Source organism: Homo sapiens, chromosome 22, assembly GCF_000001405.40.
Source record: "Homo sapiens chromosome 22, GRCh38.p14 Primary Assembly".
In the NCBI taxonomy this organism is placed as follows: Eukaryota; Metazoa; Chordata; class Mammalia; order Primates; family Hominidae; genus Homo; species Homo sapiens.
In genome coordinates, this window is record NC_000022.11 from 37,674,828 (window position 1) to 37,696,920 (window position 22,093).

The 22,093-nt window shown below is 54.7% G+C and overlaps 2 protein-coding genes across 2 annotated transcripts, besides 11 other annotated features; both read left to right on the forward strand.

Annotated features, from left to right (window-relative positions):
• Positions 612-751: a silencer, noted in NCBI's record as "silent region_13693". NCBI's record gives its function as "represses an Ori minimal core promoter by ATAC-STARR-seq in GM12878 lymphoblastoid cells {active_cell/tissue: GM12878}" and the evidence as "EXISTENCE:reporter gene assay evidence [ECO:0000049][PMID:35858748]".
• LGALS1 (galectin 1) lies at positions 809-4,975 on the forward strand. Its single transcript, NM_002305.4, has 4 exons — positions 809-884; positions 2,159-2,238; positions 3,656-3,827; positions 4,776-4,975. The coding sequence occupies exons 1-4, from the start codon at positions 876-878 to the stop codon at positions 4,920-4,922; spliced, it is 408 nt and encodes a 135-aa protein (NP_002296.1). The 5' UTR covers positions 809-875; the 3' UTR covers positions 4,923-4,975.
• Positions 2,272-2,781: a silencer, noted in NCBI's record as "silent region_13694". NCBI's record gives its function as "represses an Ori minimal core promoter by ATAC-STARR-seq in GM12878 lymphoblastoid cells {active_cell/tissue: GM12878}" and the evidence as "EXISTENCE:reporter gene assay evidence [ECO:0000049][PMID:35858748]".
• Positions 2,272-3,435: a biological region, named in NCBI's record as "H3K4me1 hESC enhancer GRCh37_chr22:38073459-38074269".
• Positions 2,625-3,435: an enhancer, noted in NCBI's record as "H3K4me1 hESC enhancer chr22:38073459-38074269 (GRCh37/hg19 assembly coordinates)". NCBI's record gives its function as "activates a minimal SCP1, AML or CMV promoter by ChIP-STARR-seq in naive H9 embryonic stem cells {active_cell/tissue: H9 hESC(naive)}" and the evidence as "EXISTENCE:reporter gene assay evidence [ECO:0000049][PMID:30033119]".
• Positions 6,632-6,831: an enhancer, noted in NCBI's record as "active region_18987". NCBI's record gives its function as "activates an Ori minimal core promoter by ATAC-STARR-seq in GM12878 lymphoblastoid cells {active_cell/tissue: GM12878}" and the evidence as "EXISTENCE:reporter gene assay evidence [ECO:0000049][PMID:35858748]".
• Positions 6,632-7,186: a biological region, named in NCBI's record as "H3K4me1 hESC enhancer GRCh37_chr22:38077520-38078020".
• Positions 6,686-7,186: an enhancer, noted in NCBI's record as "H3K4me1 hESC enhancer chr22:38077520-38078020 (GRCh37/hg19 assembly coordinates)". NCBI's record gives its function as "activates a minimal SCP1, AML or CMV promoter by ChIP-STARR-seq in primed H9 embryonic stem cells {active_cell/tissue: H9 hESC(primed)}" and the evidence as "EXISTENCE:reporter gene assay evidence [ECO:0000049][PMID:30033119]".
• Positions 10,535-11,476: an enhancer, noted in NCBI's record as "H3K27ac hESC enhancer chr22:38081369-38082310 (GRCh37/hg19 assembly coordinates)". NCBI's record gives its function as "activates a minimal SCP1, AML or CMV promoter by ChIP-STARR-seq in primed H9 embryonic stem cells {active_cell/tissue: H9 hESC(primed)}" and the evidence as "EXISTENCE:reporter gene assay evidence [ECO:0000049][PMID:30033119]".
• Positions 11,420-11,609: an enhancer, noted in NCBI's record as "active region_18988". NCBI's record gives its function as "activates an Ori minimal core promoter by ATAC-STARR-seq in GM12878 lymphoblastoid cells {active_cell/tissue: GM12878}" and the evidence as "EXISTENCE:reporter gene assay evidence [ECO:0000049][PMID:35858748]".
• Positions 11,420-12,417: a biological region, named in NCBI's record as "H3K27ac hESC enhancer GRCh37_chr22:38082311-38083251".
• Positions 11,477-12,417: an enhancer, noted in NCBI's record as "H3K27ac hESC enhancer chr22:38082311-38083251 (GRCh37/hg19 assembly coordinates)". NCBI's record gives its function as "activates a minimal SCP1, AML or CMV promoter by ChIP-STARR-seq in primed H9 embryonic stem cells {active_cell/tissue: H9 hESC(primed)}" and the evidence as "EXISTENCE:reporter gene assay evidence [ECO:0000049][PMID:30033119]".
• On the forward strand, positions 11,516-18,647 carry NOL12 (nucleolar protein 12). The gene is made up of 6 exons (NM_024313.3): positions 11,516-11,648; positions 13,083-13,188; positions 13,485-13,533; positions 14,023-14,165; positions 15,870-15,967; positions 16,347-18,647. Exons 1-6 carry the CDS (start codon positions 11,566-11,568, stop codon positions 16,507-16,509), a joined length of 642 nt encoding a protein of 213 aa, NP_077289.1. The 5' UTR covers positions 11,516-11,565; the 3' UTR covers positions 16,510-18,647.

Below are 22,093 nucleotides of genomic sequence, written 5' to 3' on the forward strand. Positions count from 1 at the left end.
AATAAAAATAAAAAAGAGAAAGGACAGGGTGCACAGAGCCAGGACCCCACCCCCTCCTGGTCTGGACCACCCTGGGCCATCTCCTAAGCTTGACACTCTCAGGCCTGAGGCTGTCAGGCCAGGGCGCTTTGACTATCCCCTGCCTGCCCCTGAACGCGGCCAAGCCCGAGGCCTTAGCCAAGCCCTGCAGCCTCAGGCTTGGCGCCCGGCCCAGCCTTTCTTTAGCCTTCCCGAGGAGCCAGCGAGAGAGCGCTGCAGCAGCCGCAGTCCTTGCTTCCGGGGAAGGCCCGGGTGGGGCCAGGGCCTGTGGTTAAGTCAGTGGCCCTCTGCAGACGCGCACGCAGCAGGAGCCACGCCCTGGTCCCTGCCCGGGAGTGGCCTGGTCTCCCCCAGCTCTGATTCCCTGAAGGACCCTGCACCTCCTCAGCCATCTTCTCTGGGCACCCCCTGAGCCCAGCCTGCTGGCCACAGGCCCCTTCCCGCCAACTTGTGGGCCTAGCTCATCATCAAACTATTTTCCACTGGCTTCCCCCAATCTCTGCCACAGCACAATTTTGGTGGGGAGGTGGAGAGGGATGAAGGAGAATAGGAGGTGGAGCTTGGACTCTGGCCGGGGGCGGCGGGGTGAGGGGGGGCAGCAGCTCGCCACTCTGATTGGTCACCTCTGCTCCAAAACTGGCTTCAAAATTCCACGGACTCCGCCCCCAGTGGCCCCCAGCCCTATCCTGACTTGCAATTGGCTGAACTTTCAGGGGGCGGGGCTCACCCGGTCCGGTCCAGTTAAAAGGGTGGGAGCGTCCGGGGGCCCATCTCTCTCGGGTGGAGTCTTCTGACAGCTGGTGCGCCTGCCCGGGAACATCCTCCTGGACTCAATCATGGCTTGTGTGAGTGTGGGGACCCCCCCCCAAGGTCCAGGGGATAGGGCAGGAACTGATGGCCAGAGGAGAGCTGGGCAGATCGGGAGCAGATTCTAGCCCCAGCTGTGTGGCCTGGAACCAGTGCCTTCTCTTTTCTGGACCTCAGTGGCCACATCTGTAAAATGGGGGTGGGCGCCATGGTCCCTCAAGGCCTTCTCTGCATTGATAATTGTCTGGATTCCTCCAGGGTCTGAAAGCACAGTTATTTCTGCCCAGGGTTGACATTCTGCAGCTCTCTGAGAAGTGAGCGTGGGAAGGGTGTGGCCAACTGGGGGACACCCAGGCCACTATCCCTTTCCCCCTCCTCCACCCCAAAGAGCCTCCTGTCCCCTCCCCCCTGCAGCTGTCCCGGTCACCAGGCCAGGGCAGAGTTACCCTCTGCTCCAGAGAACGCTGAAAAGTTGCCAGGACCCGAGACAAGCTGCCCAGGATGGGCCCTTCTAGGTCGGGGGTGGAGGGTGGTTGTGTCCAGGCTGGTGGCGGGGGGGGCGGGGGAAATTCCCTTCCACCACCCCCAAGCTGGGAGGTTGGGGTGGCAGGGAGGTGAGAATCTTCCTCGGGCCCCAGGGAAAGGGTTCAAGTTTCTGGCAGAAGAAACCACTCAAACCAGTTAACTCTTGCCCACCCACTCGGGGTGCCAGGGAACAGCAGTGCCCAGCAGTTTGCTCAATCTTGTTAACCCTGAGCCAGCCCAGCCACAGCCCGACTGCAGGGCTATTCTCCCTAATGCAGAGAGGCCGTGTTTTTCAGGGTCTCCTCTCTAGCCCCTGGGCCTCTTTGCAGAGAGGGGCTTGAAGGAGAATAGTGGGGTCGCCCGCCCCTAGCCACTTCCTCTCCAGCAGAGGGGCCGGCCCCTCCATTCAGTGTGACGGTGGGCCAAGTGTCGGCCCCTCCCCAGCCTGATCCTCTCCATCTGCGATGGGACAGAGCACCCCATCTCCCAAGTCACTCTTGAGTCCAAAATTCCCAAGCCAATCTGCAAAATCTTCTAGAGCCTGTCTTCTAGAACCTTCACGTTACAGACTGAAGCCAACCCCGGTGGGAATAGGGACTTTCCCAGGACCACATAGACAATCGGAGGCTGGAAATTACAGCTCAATCCTTTCCCCAGGCTTCCCCTTGGCTTGGTCAGAGGATGCCGGGCGGGAACAACCCCACTCCCACCCCCAGCCACCCCCGGACACTTCGAGCAGTGGAGGCCTTGTCCTCTAACCCGGCTGGGCCGGGGCTTGTCTGTGCAGGGTCTGGTCGCCAGCAACCTGAATCTCAAACCTGGAGAGTGCCTTCGAGTGCGAGGCGAGGTGGCTCCTGACGCTAAGAGGTGAGAAGTGAAGTCGGGGTGGTGGGCGGCAGGGACGGGCTTGGTCCAGCAGGGAGGGCGTGGCCGGCCAAGCCCACATCTCCTCCCTGGCCGGGAGCGGGTTAACGGCCAGCCGCCGATGCTGCGTTTTCTGGGTGACTCACTTCCCCCGCAGGGTCTGGGCGCCCCCACCGTTGCCGCCCCCTCCCCCGCTCCCTCCCTGCTGTAGCCTCTTAAACTAAACCAGCTGCAGCCTCGTCATCTGTAATACCTTGACTCCCCCGCCCCCACCCCTTTCCGGTCTGGGCGGGACCTGTCGCTGGGGAGGGCGGGGAGAGGAGTGGGGCGGGCGTCACCGCCGCCTTCCCCCTGAGTCCCTCCTTCCTGCGTCTGGTCATTCATTCATTCACTGGCTCAGTCCGGTCCTTCTTCCTTCACTTCTCATTCACTCAGACGGCTGCCTTATTTTCTCGGCAGTTAGGTGACCTTGGACCAGTCAACCAACCTCACCTAGCCTCAGTTTGTTAGAAAAACAAGGGGGGAGGTGGTTGTGTGGAGGAAGTGAGATGCGGCTGGCGCAGTGACAGTGAGGAGGATGAGGATCAGCTGATATTGTTAAGAGCCGCACACTTCTCATGCACTAATTTCATTTCAACCAAACCCTCAGAGGCAGGTATTGCTATTATCACCACTCAACAAATGTATTTATTATTTTATTTATTTATTTATTATTTTATTATTTTATTTATTTATTTTTTGAGACACAGTCTCACCCTGTCGCCCAGGCTGGAGTGCAATGGCGTGATCTCGGCTCACCACAACCTCCGCCTCCCGGGTTCAAACGATTCTCCGGCTTCAGCCTCCTGAGTAGCCGGGATTACAGGGGCCCACCACAACGCCCAGCTAATTTATGTACTTTTAGTAGAGACGGGGTTTCACCATGTTGGCCAGGCTGGTCTCGAACTCCTGACCTCATGATCTGCCCGCTCGCCTCGGCCTCCCAAAGTGCTGGGGTTACAGGCATGAGCCACCGTGCCCGGGAGTATTATTATTATTATTTGTTAATTCGCCCCATAATTACTAAGCATCTTTTTCTGGTGTGCCCCACTTGTGCTGGGCACCGGGAATACAGAGATGTACAAGACAGGACGGGAGGTCACCATCTGGAGGGAGTCACTGACCTTGACCAAACGGGCTAGGATGCTAATGACTTCAAGAATCAAGCGAGCCCTCCTGTGCAGCCCCCATTGTACAGATGAGCAAACAGGGGAAGAGGGGCAGGAGCAGGTGGCATGGCCAGAGCTAGAATCCAGGTTTCTTGTCTCTGTTAGTGAGTTCTTCCAGCAAGGTGCGTTCATGGGATACTGAGTGACAGATTAGTCGGTCAGTGGGGCTGGAGCTGGCCGAGGTGGCCTCATGCCCACCCGTTACCCCCCAGCTTCGTGCTGAACCTGGGCAAAGACAGCAACAACCTGTGCCTGCACTTCAACCCTCGCTTCAACGCCCACGGCGACGCCAACACCATCGTGTGCAACAGCAAGGACGGCGGGGCCTGGGGGACCGAGCAGCGGGAGGCTGTCTTTCCCTTCCAGCCTGGAAGTGTTGCAGAGGTGGGCTGCAGACCGGAACCGGGGACCAGGGACAGGGGCTGGGTGGGCTGGGGCGGGGCTGGGTTAGTGACTAGAGACCTTGGCCCTGCCTGCTCTTTCCCCTCCCCTTCCCTCCCTTCCTGTGTGATGGCCAGTGTCTGCCCCTCTTTGAACCTCAGTGGTTGATTACAATAAAACGAAGGGGAAAAAAAAAGGCTGGGCTTGGTGGCTCATGCCTGTAATCCCAGCACTTTGGGAGGCCGAGGCGGGCGGATCACCTGAGGTCGGGAGTTCGAGACCAGCCTGACCAACATGGAGAAACCCTGTCTCGACTAAAAATACAAAAAATTAGCTAGGCGTGATGGCGCATGCCTGTAATCCCAGCTACTCAGGAGGCTGAGGCAGGAGAATTGGTTGAACCCGGGAGGCGGAGGTTGCAGTGAGCCGAGATTGCACCACTGCACTCCAGCCTGGCCAACAAGAGCAAAACTCTGTCTCAAAAAAAAAAAAAAAAATTAGCCAGCGTGCTGGCTCATGCCTGTAATCCTGGCACTTTGGGAGACCAAAGTGGGTGGATCACCTGAGGTCAGGAGTTCGAGACCAGCCTGACCAACATGGTGAAACCCCGTCTCTATATAAATACAAAAATTAGCTGGGCGTGGTGGCACACAACTGTAGTCCTAGCTACTCAGGAGGCTGAGACAGGAGAATCACTTGAACCTGGGAGGCGGAGGTTGCAGTGAGCCGAGATTATGCCACTGTACTCCAGCCTGGGCGACAGAGGAGACTCCATCTCAAAAAAAAAAAAAAATCTATCATAGGATTAGAGTAAAAAGAAAGAAAAAATATTATAAATGTACCTCCGCAGGCTCAGCCACAAACTGGGGCTGTGTCAGGGCCACATGAGGAACGGGTTCTGGAAGGGCCCATGGCATGTGGGCCCGGCTCACTGCTCTCCTCTACCCCCAGGTGTGCATCACCTTCGACCAGGCCAACCTGACCGTCAAGCTGCCAGATGGATACGAATTCAAGTTCCCCAACCGCCTCAACCTGGAGGCCATCAACTACATGGCAGCTGACGGTGACTTCAAGATCAAATGTGTGGCCTTTGACTGAAATCAGCCAGCCCATGGCCCCCAATAAAGGCAGCTGCCTCTGCTCCCTCTGAACCAGCCTCGTGTGTGTGCTTGTGCGTGTGTGTGTATGTGTGTGCATGTGTTTGTGTGTGTGAGAGGGGTCCCCCACCTCCAGGCCTGCCCCCTTCCTTCACTTCCATTCGCTTTGTCCACGGGTACCTCCTCAGTTCCAATGACGTCTTCCGCTGGGTCCCCCAGACAAAGCACACAGAGTTTGGCACATAGTAGGAGGGTCAGTGACCACTGAATAAAAGTCAGTCCCTGCCCTGAAACTGTTTTTAGCCTAGTGGGCCCTAGCACACAGCAGATGCTCAAAGGATGTTGCATAAATGACATCAAGGGGGAAAGAGGCAAGGACAGACCAATTCGTGTGTAGTGACGGGGCAGAAGACAGGGAGGTGGAGGGAAGAATACGAGACCCCTCTCATTTGCCTTCATGAGCTAGAAAGAGATTTGGAGTCAGACAACAACGGGCTGCCAGCTATGTGGCCTTGTGCATGTTAACTGACCTCTCTGAACCTCAGCTTATTCCTTTATAACAAGGAGGATAACACAAACAGCCTATCAAAGAGTTGTTCCAAAGACCAGTCACTTCTTGGCCTTCTGGCTGAGATCAAGTGGAGATTAAATGAGGTGTTGCATGAAAGAAGCCAAGTTCAATACCTGGCATATGGTAAATGCTTAGTGGATAGTGGTTTCCCATACCTCGTGCACGGATTATTTTTTTTTTTATTTTTATTTTTTTAGAGATGGGGGTCTTCCTATGTTGCCCAGGCTGGAGTGCAGTGGTTGTTCACAGGCATGATCATGGCATACTGCAGACTCAAAGTCCTGGGCTCAGGCAATACTCCTGCCTCAGCCTTCTGAGTAGCTGGGACCACAGGTGTGTGTCACCGTACCCAGATCCCTGCACCACTTTTGAGGTGCTATTACTCCAATTGAAGGGGAAGAAATGGGCTCTGATTGATGAAATGACTCCCGGATCTGTACCAGGTCCAGCTGAGCCTGCGGGGCTCCTCAGGGATCCCGGCTTTGTGGGCTCAGGCCATGCACCCCACTTTGCTAGACTGTATGGGCAACCAAAGGACTAGTCTGGAAGCTGCCGGCTCTCATTCCTGGGCAGATGCCCCCACCCCAACAGTGGGTTTGGGTGATGACCCTGGCACCCCATTGCCAGCCCGTTTCTGTGGTAGGAGGAGCTGGGGTTGGGGGCTACGTCAGCCTCTGCAGAGAACCAAGAGGTAAAAGCCAGCCAACATGAGGCCCAGCCTCCAGACTCCCGCAGCCTCCTCCTTGGGGTACAGAGTAGGGGTGACTCACTCAACCTGAGATGAGGTCTCCATGAGCCTGTTCTCTCCTGGTTTCCAAAGACAGTGTCTCCTCCAAGACCAGCCCAGGCTGTTACCTTGGAGGGTAATGCTTAACCCAACCCCATCAAACCCACCCATCACAACTGCTGGGGCCTGAGTGGACGGCTAGGGTGCCCTGCAGACTGACTACTTCCCTGCACCTTTTCCTTCCTGCTTGCTGCTGCAGTCAGATCTTCCCAGGGCCCCTACCTCTCTGGGAACCAGCTGCAGGAACTGAGCCAAAGTTCAGAAGGTTAGAATGAGAACATCATTAGGCTCCCCCATAACCCCAAGGCACAGTCTCCTGAGGCATGGTGCGTGGGTGGGGGGGTCTTGGCAAATCTCACTTTCTAGGGCAACTGGCACCAGCTGTGAGTAGGTCTCTTATACACCCAGCCTCAGTTTCCTCATCCATAAAATGAGACCCATTTTGGGTAGATGATTTCCATCTCAGTGGGTGCCCTGGGACCTGGGTGGAAGCGGGGGTCATGTATCTCTCTATGAGGTCAAAGAGGATGGAACACACATGCTGAGAACTCCCATGAGCCACACCCAATCTCCAGGCTCTCCTGGGGCTCCCAGGTGGCCACCCAGAAACAGCTTCAGAAGCCTGGCTGCAGATGGAGTGCCCTCTGCTGGACATTGGAGAACACGTCCCCCAGGCTGCCCTGCCTTGTCCTCAGTTCACCCACATTGATTCTCCCCTACACTGGCTGACACTCACAGGACACTAGGACTGGGGCCACAACCGGGCAGAGGAAAGTCCTGGGGCAGGTAAGAGAGGCCACTGGGTGTGGAGGAAGGAAGCCCGGCTCAGCGTCAGACAGACCTGTGTTTAAACCCCAGCTCTGTGGCTGTGTGCCCTTGGACCAGTTATTCAACGTCTCTGAACCTCAGTTTCCTCATCTGGCAAACTTTGTTAAGACTGCACTAGTTGGCCAGGCACGCTGGCCCACGCCTGTAATCCCAGCACTTTGGGAGGCCGAGGTGGGTGGATGACCTAAGGTCAGGAGTTCGAGACCAGCCCGGGCAACATGGCGAAACCCCGTCTCTACTAAAAATACAAAAATTAGGCCGGGCATGGTGGCTCACGTCTGTAAATCCCAGCACTTTGGGAGGCCGAGGCGGGTGGATCACCTGAGGTCGGGAGTTCGAGACCAGCCTGACCAACATGGAGAAACCCCGTCTCTACTAAAAATATAAAAAATTAGCCGGGCATGGTGGTGCATGCCTGTAATCCCAGCTACTTGGTAGGCTGAGGCAGGAGAATGGCGTGAACCCGGGAGGCGGAGCTTGCAGTGAGCCGAGATCCCGCCACTGCACTCCAGCCTGGGCGACAGAGCGAGACTCCGTCTCAAAAAAAAAAAAAAAAAAAAAATTAGCCGGGCGCAGTGGCGCGTGCCTGTAATCCCAGCTACTCAAGAGGCTAAGGCAGGAGAATCGCCTGAGCCCGGAAGGCAGAGGTTGCAGTGAGCCGATATTGCGCCATTGCACTCCAGCCTGGGTGACAGAGCGAGACTCCATCTCAAAAAAAAAAAAAGACTGCACTAGTATTGGCTGGGTGTGGTGGGTCACACCCGTAATCCCAGCACTTTGGGAGGCTGAGGCAGGAGATTCATTTGAGGTCAGGAGTTTGAGACCAGCCTGGCCAACAAGTGAAACCCCGTCTTTACTAAAAATACAAAAATTAGCCGGGCATGGTGGTGCATGCCTGTAGTCCCAGCTACTGGGGAGGCTGAGGCAGGAAAATCACTTGATCCCGGGAAGAGGAGGTTGCAGTGAACCGAGATCATGCCACTGCATTCCAGCCTGGGCGACACAGCAAGACTCCGTCTCAAAAAAAAAAAAAAAAAAAAAAGATTAGCTGAGGTGATGTATAGAAATGCATGGTGCCTGGCACGCAATAGGGGCTCGGTGAGTGTTGGTTCCCTTCACCCCTTTTAAGGCTTGGTGTGTCCCAAGGGCCTAGGAAACTAGGTCCAGATAAGTTAAGTCAATCTCTGTCCTTAGGCCACCTGCGCCCCACCCTCAGCACCTGTTTTTGCCTGTGTGACCTCAGACAAGTGACTGCACCTCTCTGAGCCTCAGTTTCCTCCTCAGTAAAATGTGGATTGTACCTCAAAAGAGATCATCATAAGCCAGGCACAGTGGTGGGCACCTGTGGTTCCAGCTACTCCTGAAGCTGAATGGGGAGGATCGCTTGAGCCCAGGAGTTTGAGACCAGCTTGGGCAACATAGTGAGACCCTCATCTCTATAAATAAATAAATAAATAAATAATAAAATCAATAATCTAAAGAGAGTAAAGAGCTAAATAAATGTCAGCTGCTCTTGTTACTCTTTTTCCTCATTAAGTTTATCATCACTTCTTTTCTTATTGTTTTTGTTTTTTGTTTTGAGACAGAGTTTTGCTCTTTTGACCAGGCTAGAGTGAAGTGGCGGGATCTCGGCTCACTGCAACCTCTGTCTCCTGGGTTCAAGTGATTACTCGAGTAGCTCAGCCTCTCGAGTAGCTGGGATTACAGGCATGCACCACCACGCCCGGCTAATTGTCATATTTTTAATAGAGATGGGGTTTCATCATGTTGGTCAGGCTGGTCTGGAACTCCGAACCTCAATTGATCCACCCACCTTGGCCTCCCAAAATGCTAGGATTACAGGCATGAGCCACTGCGCCTGGCCTGTTTTTTTTTTTTTTCTTTTTTTTTTTCAGAGATGGGGTCTCACTCTGTCACCCAGGGTGGAATGCAGTGGCATGATCACAGCTGCAGTGCAGCCTCAAACTTCTGAGCTTGAGTGATCCTCCCACCTCAGCCTCCCAAGTCGCTGGACTATAGGAGTATGTCACCACGCCTGGCTAATTTTTAATTTTTTGTAGAGACAGGGTCTTACTATGTTGCTCTACTGTCTGTCGCCAGGCTGGGGTGCAGCAGCGCAATCTCGGCTCACTGCAACCCTCCCGGGTTCAAGTGATTCTTCTGCCTCAGCCTCCCAAGTAGCTGGGACTACAGGCGTGTGCCACCATGCCCAGCTAATTTTTGTATTTTTAGTAGACATGGGGTTTCACCATGTTGGCCAGGATGGTCTCGATCTCTTGACCTCGTGATCCTCCCGCCTCAGCCTTCCAAAGTGCTGGGATTACAGGTGTGAGTCACCGCGCCCGGCTTGAGCCTTCACTTTTCATCTCCAACCACTCTGGGTGGGAGTGGAGCCCTGGCAAACCAAGCAGGTCGAAGCCTGGGACTGGGAGGAGACAGACCAGCTGCAGAAGGTGACTCTCTGGGCACCTTCAGCCAGGGTGATGCCTCTACCCAGGAAGGTGCCAAGGGTGGCTTTAAGGCACTGCCACTAAGGGGCAGAAGCAGCTGGTCAGAGGTGCAGTCCAGCACCCTAAGGGAGCCCCCTGCATTGCTCTGGGCCACAGAACTGAAAGGCCAGGCCTGTAGTTTAAGGGTAACTTCCAGCTGGGCGCGGTGGCTCACGCCTGTAATCCCAGCACTTTGGGAGGCCGAGGTGGGTGGATCACCTGAGGTCAGGAGTTTGAGACCAGCCTGACCAACACGGAGAAACCCCATCTCTACTAAAAATACAAAATTAGCCGGGCATGGTGGCACATGCCTATAATCCCAGCTACTAGGGAGGCTAAGGAAGGAGAATCGCTTGAACCTGGGAGGCGGAGGTTGCAGTGAGCCGAGATCGTGCCATTGCACTCCAGCCTGGGCAACAAGAGTGAAACTCCGTCTCAAAAAAAAAAAGGTAACTTCCTCTCAGGATCCCACATAGATTTCCCAAGCAGAGGAGCTGTATGGAATGAATTCAGCATTCTGGAGTGCTGCACTTACTGCCTGCCTCCTTCCAAAACTCAGAGTCAGGGTACAAAGATCAGCTGGGCGTGCTGGCAGGTGCCAGTAATCCTAGCTACTCAGGAGGCTGAGGCAGGAGAATTGCTTGAACCTGGGAGGCGGAGACTGCAGTGAGCCGAGATCACAACACTGCACTCCAGCCTGGGTGACAAGAGCGAAACTCTGTCTCAGAAAAAAAAAAAAAAAAAGCGGATGAAGGATTCTGGCATACAATCCAAGTGACTAAAAATCCCCTTCAGGCGTTGTTTCACTGCAATCTTTCACAACCATGCCCTCATTCTCAGTCAAGGATGTTATTATACACTCATTCCACCTTTGGGCAAAGTGAGGCACAAAGAGGGAAGATGGCTTGTGCAGAAAACACATGTATGCGTGCCTTATGTTAGACAAACTTTACATAATTAACTTCCTCACAATCACAGCTGTCAAGGTTTAGTCCACGGACCAGCAGCATTAGCATCACCTGAGAACCTGCTAGAAACGGAAATCCACTCAGAAACCTCTATCGGATCAGAAACTCCGGGGTGGGGCCCAGCGATCCAGGTTTTTAGCCCTCTAGGGGATTCTGATGTATGCCAAAGTTCCAGAACCAGTGTCTACAACAACCCTACGAAGCTACTATACTTTCCCTTATTTTACAAATAGGGTGAGGCACCGCGAAGACCATTGGTCTGGGACCACACAGCTGTAGGTGTGATGCCAGTATACAAATCCAGGCAGTTTGGCTCCCTCTTGGAGACTACCAACGAGTTGACATCAGCATCTAAAGTAGGGGCCAGCACGGTGGCTCACGCCTGTAATCCCGGCACTTTGGGAGGCCGAGATGGGAGGACCACTTGCGGTCAGGAGTTCAAGCAGTCTGGTCAACATGGTGAAAACTTGTCTCTACTAAAAATGCAAAAATTAGGGAGTATGGTGGCGCACACCTGTAATCCCAGTTACTCAGGAGGCTGAGGCGGAGAATTGCTTGAACCTGGGAGGCAGGGATTGCAATGAACCGACATCCGCCACTGAACTCCAGCCTGGACGACAGAGCGAGACTCCATCTCAAAAGCAATAATAATAAATTAAAGGAAAAAAATATCCAAAGTAGGGTTAGTACAGGAAATTTGGGCCATTCACGAGTAACTCCATATTGAGTGTGTGCCAGGCACAGTCCTAGGCAGTGGGGTCCAGGGGACCTCGCTCTCATTGAAGCGAGGCTGGGGAGGGGCTGGAGCTGGGAGTCACGGAGAGATCAGGGACCAGCGCGTCATGCATGGGAAGAGGGAAGAAAAGGAGCTGGGAGGTCCCTTTAAAAGGCTGGGCCTGGTGGACGGAACTTCGGTGCGACGCTAAAGTGTGCGCCCGGGAGGATGAGTACGCTACACCCGGAAGTGTCTTCAGGGAGAGGAAGCCGGCGGCCTCACTGCTATGGGCCGCAACAAGAAGAAGAAGCGAGATGGTGACGACCGGCGGCCGAGGCTCGTTCTTAGCTTCGACGAGGAGAAGAGGCGGTGAGTGGCAAAGCCGGACCGGACTCCCCTCGAGCTGTTCTTCGCGGCCAAGGCCAGGTCTGGGGCCGAGCACGCTCCCGCCGGGGGCTCTTCCGGTCCCGCCCCCTGGCGTGGCTAGAGAACCCCTCTCGGCCTTCCAGCCCGCGTTCCCGCTTCTCCCTTCTCGGCCGCCACCTTCTCCCTTCTTGACCTCCCCACCTCGCCTAGTGTCTGTGCGCCGCCAGATAGCCGGAAGCTCGGGTCTCAGAGCAGTGGCTTCGACCACCCTAGCCCAGCCCAGTCCATCGGTCCGGCACACAGCAGGCGCCCAGCCGTGGTTGATAAATGATGAGCCAATGAAATGAGAGTGGCTTAAGTTCATTCATTCGCTCCCTAGACATTTATTGGGCTCCTTTGGTGTGCCAGGTCCCGTATCAGGAAGCAGAACCTCTGAGCCTCAGCGTCTGGCCAGATAAATAAATGGCACATGGTAGCGGGTCAGCGAAAAGCCCAGTGCTGGACCGTGGGACAAAATGGGAACAGAGCAGCTAGCACTGTGGAGATGAGAAGGGGCTGAGATTAGACCGAGGGAAGGAGGTAGGGAAATGCTGGGCATCATCAGGAAACTCCTAGCGTGCATCAACAGGCCCTACAGGCGAGTTTAGGGTCAGGTGTCCTGGGGACATGGGTGTTGGTCCAGTGCAGGGTTTCCGAAGGTCTGGATGGTGGTGGCCCTGAAAACCCTGTTGAGAGAGTAATGAGGTTTGTAGGTGTGGAAGGGGTTACCTCATGTACTGTGTGTGGCCCCCCCCCCCACCCGCCCCACAGCCTGGCCCTGTTGCCTGAACCTGAGATCCCTGGAGAGTATTGAGTGGAAAGAGGCAGTATCTCCCTTATTTTCCTAAATGTATCCTTTCTCTAACCTTGGGCAAGTAACCTAGACTCTGTGACTCAACGTTCCCATCTGTAAAATGGAGATTGATACCCACCGCACAGGTTATTGTGAGGGTTTTTTGTTTGTTTTTGAGATGGAGTCTGTGTCGTCCAGGCTGGAGTGCAGTGGCATGATCTCGGCTCACTGCAACCTCCGCCTCCCAGGTTCAAGCAATTCTCCCCGCTCAGCCTCCCAAGTAGCTGGGACTGCAGGCATGCGCCACCAAGCCCAGCTAATTTTTGTGTTTTTAGTAGACACGGAGTTTCACCATGTTTGCCAGGCTGGTCTTGAACTCCTGGCGTCATGTGATCTTCCCACCTCGACCTTCCAAAGTACTGGGATTACAGGCGTGAGCCACCATGCCTGGCCATTGTTGTGAAGGTTAAATGAGCTAATACTTACACTTTTTTGGAATGGTGCCTAGCACATAGTGAGCGCGGCATTAGCCATTTTTCTCCTAGAGCGAGCCCTTCTCTCCTTGTATAATGACTCTCCTGTCTCTGCCGGCTTCCTTCCTGTAGGGAGTACCTGACAGGCTTCCACAAGCGGAAGGTCGAGCGAAAGAAGGCAGCCATTGAGGAGATTAAGCAGCGGCTGAAAGAGGAGCAGAGGAAGCTTCGGGAGGAGGTACGCAGGGGGAAGGTGGGAGGGAGGTCTTTGATTCTTAGGGCACTTGCAGCCTTGGATTTCCCTAATAGAGGCAGCTGCTGGCATGGGGCGATGTGTGTGTGGGCAGGACTGGGGAATAGTTTATACAGGTGGAGACTCTGTGGGCCCGGGTCTGGGAGTGATGGAAGATGGAGTCTCCTCCTGATCTTGCAGTATGGATCATGGTCTCCCTCACCCTGGGGGTGATTAATACCCCAGCCTGAGGTTGGACTGAGAGGCCATACTCACTGTGTTCCCTGCCTGTGTGGTTTCAGCGCCACCAGGAATACTTGAAGATGCTGGCAGAGAGAGAAGAGGCTCTGGGTAAGTGGCATGCTTGGCCTGACCTGGAGAACAGCTGATGGGCCTGGTTTATACCCTTGGTGGGTGGAAGGGATAGAAGCTGACCTCCTTGGCCCTAGGGATCTTGGGGGGTACCCTGGGGCCAGGGGTGGTCCTAAGCACCTCTAAGTGCAAGTGGAACAGAGACCAGGAGAAGGAGTCCCAAACCCCATGGTTAACCAAGCCTGAGAAGAGAGCCCAGTTTTTAAGGATGGAAAGGACTAGGGGTGGAGGGGAGGGACAGCAGTAGCTGTCACAGAGGGTTTGTCTGACATGGGGACCAGCTAGAGCATGAAGGAAACGGGATCATTCACAACATTCATCCACAGACCAGGCTCTACAGCCAGTGACCTTGTGGATGCGCTCCACGTCCACAGAGTAGAGGGGGCACTGCACTCCAGGGCGGGAGGGAGGCTGGAGCCTGGTCACTCGTTCCCGTGACTGAGACCAGGTCTGTGTCCACCCCCACAGAGGAGGCAGATGAGCTGGACCGGTTGGTGACAGCAAAGACGGAGTCGGTGCAGTATGACCACCCCAACCACACAGTCACCGTGACCACCATCAGTGACCTGGACCTCTCGGGGGCCCGGCTGCTCGGGCTGACCCCACCTGAGGTGGGTCCCAGTCTCAGCCCTGGGAGGAAGGGGCGTGGGGGCAGACCAGCTTGTCAGGGTTGCTCAGTGCTGGCCCATGTCATGGGTATCCCACTGCCAGCCCTGGGAAGAAGGGGCGTGGGGGCAGACTGGCTTGTCGGGGTTGCTCAGTGCTGGCCCATGTTGTGGGTACCCCACTGCTGGGGCTCCTTCCCTTTGGACCCTTCATTCCCTGCTTCCGGGGTGCTGCAAAGACCAGCCCCACTGCTGAGCGGCTGAGGAGCTTGGGCAGGCTCCTTCACCTTGCCTGCTTCCCTTTCTCCATCAGTGAACTGGGGGTTGCTGATGGTGGCACCTGCCTTGTGGGATTGGTATGAGGGTGAAAGTGGTTAATCCATGTGAGTCACCTGGCACAGTGCCCAGCCCTGTCATAAGTGCTTCACAAAAGGTAGCCGTTTGTTGTGATCGTTCCCTTTGTGCGATTCGCAGCCCTGGCACGTCTGTGTGCACTAAGTGGGTTTTCAACCTGTGGGTTGTGAATCATGAGTAGGTTGCAATCAGCATAAAAAAAAAATATAATTGAAAATATCCGAAAGTGTCATGTTAAATATTGTTTCATGAGACAGCTGTTTCCACTGGAGTTGTATCTGGGTGTGCCTAAGGATTTATGGACATATATGCACACAATTACGATATAAAACACATTTCCTTGTGTGGGTTACTGTGTTCTTAAGTCCTGGAGCCACTCCCCTATCACATCCATACTGATCTCAGGGCCAGGCATGGTGGCTCACGCCTGTAATCCCGGCATTTTGGGAGGCCAAGGCGGGCGTTATCACCTGGGGTCAGGAGTTTGAGACCAGCCTGGCCAACATGGTGAAACCCCGTCTCTATTAAAAGTAAAAAAATTAGCCAGGGGGCCAGGCGCAGTGGCTCATGCCTGTAATCCCAGCACTTTGGGAGGCCGAGGCGGGCGAATCACCTGAGGTTGGGAGTTCGAGACCAGACTGACCAACGTGGAGAAACCCTGTCTCTACTAAAAATACAAAATTAGCTGGGTGTGGTGGGACATGCCTGTAATCCCAGCTACTCGGGAGGCTGAAGCAGGAGAATAGCTTGAACCTGGGAGGTGGAGGTTGTGGTGAGCCGAGATCGTGCCATTGCACTCCAGCCTGGGCAAAAAGAGCAAAACTCCGTCTCAAAAAAAACTTAGCCAGGCATGGTGGCGTGCACCTGTAATCCCAGCTACTCGGGAGGCTGAGGCAGGAGAATTGCTTGAACTCAGGAGGCGCAGGTTGCAGTGAGCCACGATTGTGCCACTGCACTCCAGCCTGGGTGACAGAGCGAGACTCCATCTCAAAAAACAAAACAAAACAAAACCATACTGATCTCACACCGGTCTTTCATTTTATGCTCACTATTCTGCAAGTTCTGATACAAAGACAAGTCTTGTCCCCGTTTTGCTAGGATTTTCATTCCTGAATGTTTAAGTATGTCCTGGAAGCTTCTAGGGGCAGGAAAGGGTTTGGAAACAGACCTTCCCCTGTGTAATCCTTGCTTTAGGGCAGATAGACTTCTTCCATCAGAAGCCTTCTCTAGTCCCAACCCAGGCCTGTGATGCAGCAGGGCGCGCCACCACTTGCCAGAGCCATGGTGGCTCGGGGTGCCCAGCCCAGGTCCCCCCAGCTACTGCTCCATGTAAGTCATTGTCTTGTGCCTCTTTAGGGAGGGGCTGGAGACAGGTCTGAGGAGGAGGCGTCATCCACGGAGAAACCAACCAAAGCCTTGCCCAGGAAGTCCAGAGACCCCCTGCTCTCTCAGCGGTGAGTCTTGGCCTGCTGCCTCCCCGGTCCCACCCCTCCTGGCTGGCAGTAGTGACCTGGCCCTTAGGGTGGTGTGGAGCAGGTGTAGGGCCCGGAGCAGCCCTCTGCCTGTCCAGTGATCCTCTGCCTCTCCTCATTGCCCCGTCCTGTCCCACCCACCCCTGATAGTGTCTGACCTCCAGTGCTTTTCGTGCCTGGGTGAAGGGCCTGTGTCTCTGAGCTGAGTTGCTGGCAGGCACTCTGGAGGTAGAGCAGGCCAACTCTGGCATGAACTTGGCGGTCCTGGCATTCGCAACCTGTCCTGACATCCCCTCCGTGAGCCAGGTGGTGAGTCACCCCACAATGCAATCTTAAACTGAGGCTTTCTGCCCTCCCCTAGGATCTCCTCCCTCACAGCATCACTACATGCACACAGCCGCAAAAAGGTCAAGAGGAAACATCCCCGACGGGCCCAGGACTCCAAAAAGCCCCCAAGGGCCCCTCGTACCAGCAAGGCCCAGCGCCGCCGTCTCACAGGCAAAGCACGGCACAGCGGGGAGTGAGACCGAGAACGAAGCGGTGCCCCAGTCTAGGCTGCGGGGACCTGTCCTTGCTCAGCTTGGCTGTCCCTGTAGCCCAGCCTGCACCTAGGTAATGACTGCACAGCTCAAGGTTGGGAAGCCAGGACCTCTCTGGCCTGGGGCCAGCTGCCTTTGCCTGGGGTCAGCTGCCTTTGCCTGGGGTTTGAATTCCCGAAGGAGCAGGCAGCTGAGAGCAGGCCTCCCCCAGGAAGAGCCTTCAGAGCCACGTGGGGGCATCTTCCCAAATGTGCACCCCACCTGGCACTCATCAGATTTGTGCGCTTGTGATTTGTTTGTCCTTGATACCACGCACAAGGGCAGGTTTTTGGGGTGGTGGAAATGGCCAGGGCCCATGGGTCTGTCTCCAGCAGTTAGCCCTGTGGCTGCAATAAAGTACAGTTCTCCCTGTGTTAAGATCCTAACCAGGGTTAAGGATCAGTGTGTCCGTTGCTAGAATCCAGAGCCCACCTGCTGCTCTGAAAAGCAGGCTCCTGAGGCCAGTGGGGGAGCAGTGCCCCCCATGCCCTTCACCGAGGAGCCTCTGTGCCTGTCCCTTGTCCTCGGCCCCAGGAGTCTCCTCAACTGACACTGAAGTGGTGGAAGCAGTTGAGTGCCAGGTCATCCCCCATCACCACACTGGGGCAGCGTCCCCAGGCTTCCAGCAGCTCCCAGGTGGGTCCCAACGTGGAAGGATTAATTAATTCTTTCTAAAGCAGTTGCAGCCGGGCTTGGTGGCTCACGCCTGTAATCCCAGCACTTTGGGAGGCCCAGGCGGGCAGATCACTTAAGGTCGGGAGCTCGAGACCAGCCTGGCCAACATGGTGAAACCCTGTCTCTACTAAAAATGCAAAAATTAGCCAGGTGTGGTGGCACACGCGTGTAATCCCAGCTACTTGGGAGGCTGAGGTGGAAGAATCACTTGAACCCTGGAGGCGGAGGCTGCAGTGAGCCGAGATCACGCCATTGCACTCCAGCCTGGGCAACGTTGTGACCTTGTCTCAAAAAAAAACTAAAAAATAAAGCAGTTGCATCTTGACTCGTACAAAAGTAGCCCCCACCAGAGTAGACCCTGCGGGTGCCAGCTAGAACTCCACAAGGGGCCATGTCTTCACACTCCTTCCAGATGGATGAGTTGATGGAAACCCTGTCCCTTCCTTGTCCCAGCTTGTCAGTCCTGGGCAGGAGAGAATTTCAGGTTGTGCCTTGGTTAGAGGAGCTGTGTTGGGTCCTAAACACTAGGACCACAAAGGGGAGTGAACTGTGTTCCCAGGGCTTGCTGACGCCCGTGGACTATGGAGTCAGGATGACAGGACAGTGCGGTGAGGGGCATCTGCGACAGGACTGCGGGCTCTACCCGCCCTGATGTGGGAGCTCCTGGAGTGGGGGTGAGCAGTGAGCCAGGGTCTGCAGGGCTGTCCTCTCTCCACAGCCAACAGCCAGGCCTTACAGTGGGGCAGGCTTAGTGACTGTGCCTCAGTTATGCTGTACCTGGGAGTGGGCAGGCCCTCTCCCATGTCACCATCAAAACCCACTGATGAAGGCTGGTGGGAGTCTGAGGGCTGCACCCGGGTATGGTGAGTTCCCCTCAGGGATTGTGCTGAGCGCCTTGGCCTGGCTTCTTGGCTCCGCCCACCTGCTCTCCCTGCCACCAAGTTGTCTTCCCCGGGTGGCATGTGCCACTTGGCTGCCTCGTGCCTGGGCACAGTGGTGCCTATTATGGGCCCTCCAGGTGGCTCTGGTGCTCAGCCTGCTGTGAGCAGGAACAGCTGAGTCCCAGGGGTTCTTGCACACAGCAGGGCTCGGGTTTGAATCCAGGCTCTGCTGCTTGGTCGCTGCATGAGCTTCTGCTGTGCTGACCTCTCTGGTTTGTCTCGTCATGTGTAAGGTGACACCAGATACCTACCTCTTAGGGCTGCCCCGAGACTAAAATAAGACCATGTGCATGAACCACTTACCAAAGTGCCTGTTGCTCTCCAGGTGTGCCTACCGCATGTTGCCGCTGCTGTTTCTGCTGGGACGTCTGACTCCAGTTCCTTCTCCCCTCTCCAGTGACAAGGTCATTTACAACTTACATTTACAATTTATAGTGTTTACCAGTATTAAATTCTCAGCCACTCCTTTCCATGTGTGCCTTCATTTCTTCCAGCAGACCAGGGAAGTTGAGTCACAGTGATTTGACCAATTCTAGGATCAGGGTGGTGGATTCAGAGCCCTCTGGAGAACTTGTCTTTTCTCCAGGAGCCCCTCACCATTGCTGTGGAGGCACCTGGGCTCCTTCCTCCTGTCGCTTTCCAGAGTTGGGCCTCTGAGAGATGTATGAGGAAGAGTTAAGTTTAGCTGCATATACTCTAAAACAAAATTGAAAAACAACTGGCTTGTGTAAAAGAGTTCCCATCCCAAAGATGGGAGGTTCCCAGCCTGGAGCTGGGAAGGCTGGAGGCTGGGATGCCGGGCTTCTAACTCTATGCTGTGTTCTATGTTGTGTGCCATTTTCAACACATGGCCCCTGCCTCACAGCACAAGGTGGCTGCTTGAGCTGCAGCCATTATGTCTGCATTTCAGCCAGCAGGACAGAAAAGGGGATGAAGAACATGCCCCTCCTTTTGAAAACATTTAGGGCCAGGTATGGTGGCTCACGCCTGTAATCCCAGCGCTTTGGGAGGCCAAGGCGGGTGGATCACCTGAGGTCGGGAGTTCGAGACCAGCCTGACCAACATGGAGAAACCCCTGTCTCTACTAAAAATACAAAATTAGCTGGGTGTGGTGGCGCATGCCTGTAATCCCAGCTACTCGAGAGGCTGAGCCAGGAGAATTGCTTGAACCTGGGAGGTGGAGGTTGCGGTGAGCCGAGATCATGCCATTGCCCTCCAGCCTTGGCAACAAGTGTGAAACTCCGTCTCAAAAAAAAAAAAAAAGAAAAATTGGCACTTGGCATGTCCTGTTGGCCAGGCAGGAGGCAAAGCATGAGGCAGAGGCAAGGGAGCTCTTAGCTACAAGACAGGCTAGGAACTCTTCTATTTATTTATTTTTTGAGATGTAGTATTGCTCATCATCCAGGCTGGAGTGCAATGGTACAATCTCGGCTCACTGCAACCTCTGCTCCCCGGATTCAAGCAACTCTCCTGCCTCAGCCTCCCCAGTAGCTGGGACTATAGGCACCTGCCACCACGCCTGACTAATTTTTGTGTTTTTAGTAGAGATGGGATTTTGCCACGTTGGTCAGGCTGGTCTCGAACTCTTGACCTCAGGTGATCCACCCACCGTGGCCTCCCAAAGTGCTGGGATTACAGGCATGAGCCACCCCGCCCGGCCAGGAACTCTTCTATTCTGGGAAACCAAGTGCTCAGATGAGAATTGGGGATTGTGTTAGAAAGGAGAGAATGGGGCCTGGCACAGTGGTTCGTGCCTGTAATCCCAGCACTTTGGGAGGCTGAGGTGGGCCAATCACCTGAGATCAGGTGTTTGAGACCAGCCTGGCCAACGTGGCGAAACCCGATCTCTACTAAAAATATAAAAATTAGCCAGGTGTGATGGCAGGTGCCTGTAATCCCAGCTACTTGGGAGGCTGAGATGAGAATCACTTGAACCCGAGGGCCAGAGGTTGCAGTGGGCCAAGATCACACCACTGCACTCCGGCCTGGGTGACAACAGCAAGACTCCATCTCAAAAATGAGAGAATGAGGCCAGGCGCAGTGGCTCACACCTGTAATCCCAGCATTTTGGGAGGCCAAGGCGGGCAGATCACGAGGTCAGGAGATCAAGACCGTCCTGGCTAACACGGTGAAACCCCGTCTCTACTAAAAATACAAAAAATTAGTTGGGCGTGGTGGCGGGCACCTGTAGTCCCAGCTACTTGGGAGGCTGAGGCAGGAGAATGGCATGAACCCGGGAGGCGGAGCTTGCAGTGAGCAGAGATCGCGCCACTGCACTCCAGCCTGGGCAACTGAGCGAGAATCTGTCTCAAAAAAAAAAAAAAAAAAAAAATGAGAGAATGGGTGTTGGGGTATAATCAGCAGATTATTTCACAGAAGCCAAATATATAAAGGGCTGTCATGAGGGGATCCATCTGTGTGGAGCTAAAGTCACAGCAGACATTTATCCATCCTCGGTTTTCACACCAAGGTCAGGCCCTGTGCTAGTACATGATGAGCTGTGGCCATAGTTACCTGAGGCTGGGCTCAGCCCATTAAAATAAAACTTCTTTTGGTACGATCTGTTTTGGGGTGGCCTGAGCTCTCCCCAGGGGGGTGAGGTGAGGAACTGTGGGGGCAGGTGTTCTGGGGTCATATAAGCCTCAGCGTCCATCCTTTCCAAGGTCCCAGTGGTGCTGACGACCTTGACGCCCCCAGGTTTGAGCCATTGACCTTCCTTTGGCTTGCAGGTGGCTCTGGTGAGGGGCTTCAGTTCCTCCTGAGCTTGGAGAGCTCACTGCCTGCTCCCTTGTGAGGACTGCTAGAAATGCCCGCCTTGTTCTGAGCTAGCATTGGCCTCCCCCAGCCACCTTCAGAGGTTTGCAGGCTGTTCTCAGCCTTTCTCGATCTCCTCACCTTTGAGCCACCTCCAAGGAGAAGCCTTCTCTGCCTTCCTCCTTTCTCCACCTGACCTCCCATGATAGTAGGTGTTTCCTTCTTTTAAACACTGAACACAGTGAATCCTGGTTTGTCCCTCGAACCAGACCAGAGCTTTCTGAGTGAGAAATTGTATCTTAGTCATTTCTGTTTCTGCTCTGGGCACAAGCTTGTGTCAATGTAGGTTCTCAGCCAATCCTGTCTGAATCCAACCCCCAGGTGATCCCCAACAACTCTCAAAATAATCTAAGATTTCTGTGACCCTAGTGCCAAGCTCACCTGCCTACAAGTGTCTGAATCTAGTTTACCTTCCCTGTCTCATCACTGCACCCATCTCTCCTGGACTCCTGCTGCAACCTTCCTCCCTGTCCAGTGAATTTCGCCCTCCTCCTCCCATCCCAGTCGCCACAATTGGCAAATATCAACCAAAAGGAAAAAAGATGGGAAACAAGTTTTTTTTTTTTTTTTTTTTTTTTTTTTTAAGGCGGAGTCTCACTCTGTTGCCCAGGCTGGAGTGCAGTGGTGTGATTTCGGCTCACTGCAACCTCCGCCTCCCGGGTTCAAGCGATGCTCCTGCCTCAGCCTTCTGAGTAGCTGAGACTACAGGCGCACACCACCACGCCAGGCTATTTTTTTTTTCTTTTTTATACAAGAGTTTTGCTCTGTCGCCCAGGCTGGAGTGCAATGGCGCTATCTCAGCTCACTGCAACCTCCGCCTCCTCGGTAAGAAAACTGTCATGACAGAGAGGTTAAGACTCTAGTCCAAGGTCTGTGCTAAAGCCAGCCCAGCGGACTGTCGGCAGAATGAACCAACGGGAAAGAGGTCAGAAGGAGCCAGATCCGCCAGTGCCAGCCCTCTCCAGGGCTCCCTGGGGACCCCCAGCGGGCAAGGGCTGCAGGCGGCCCAGGCTAAACGTGCAGTGAGTCCCGCTCTCAGAGGTATCTGCGCCCCGCCTGCCTCCGCCCCGCCCCTTGTTCTGGTTTGTCCAGTCCCACAG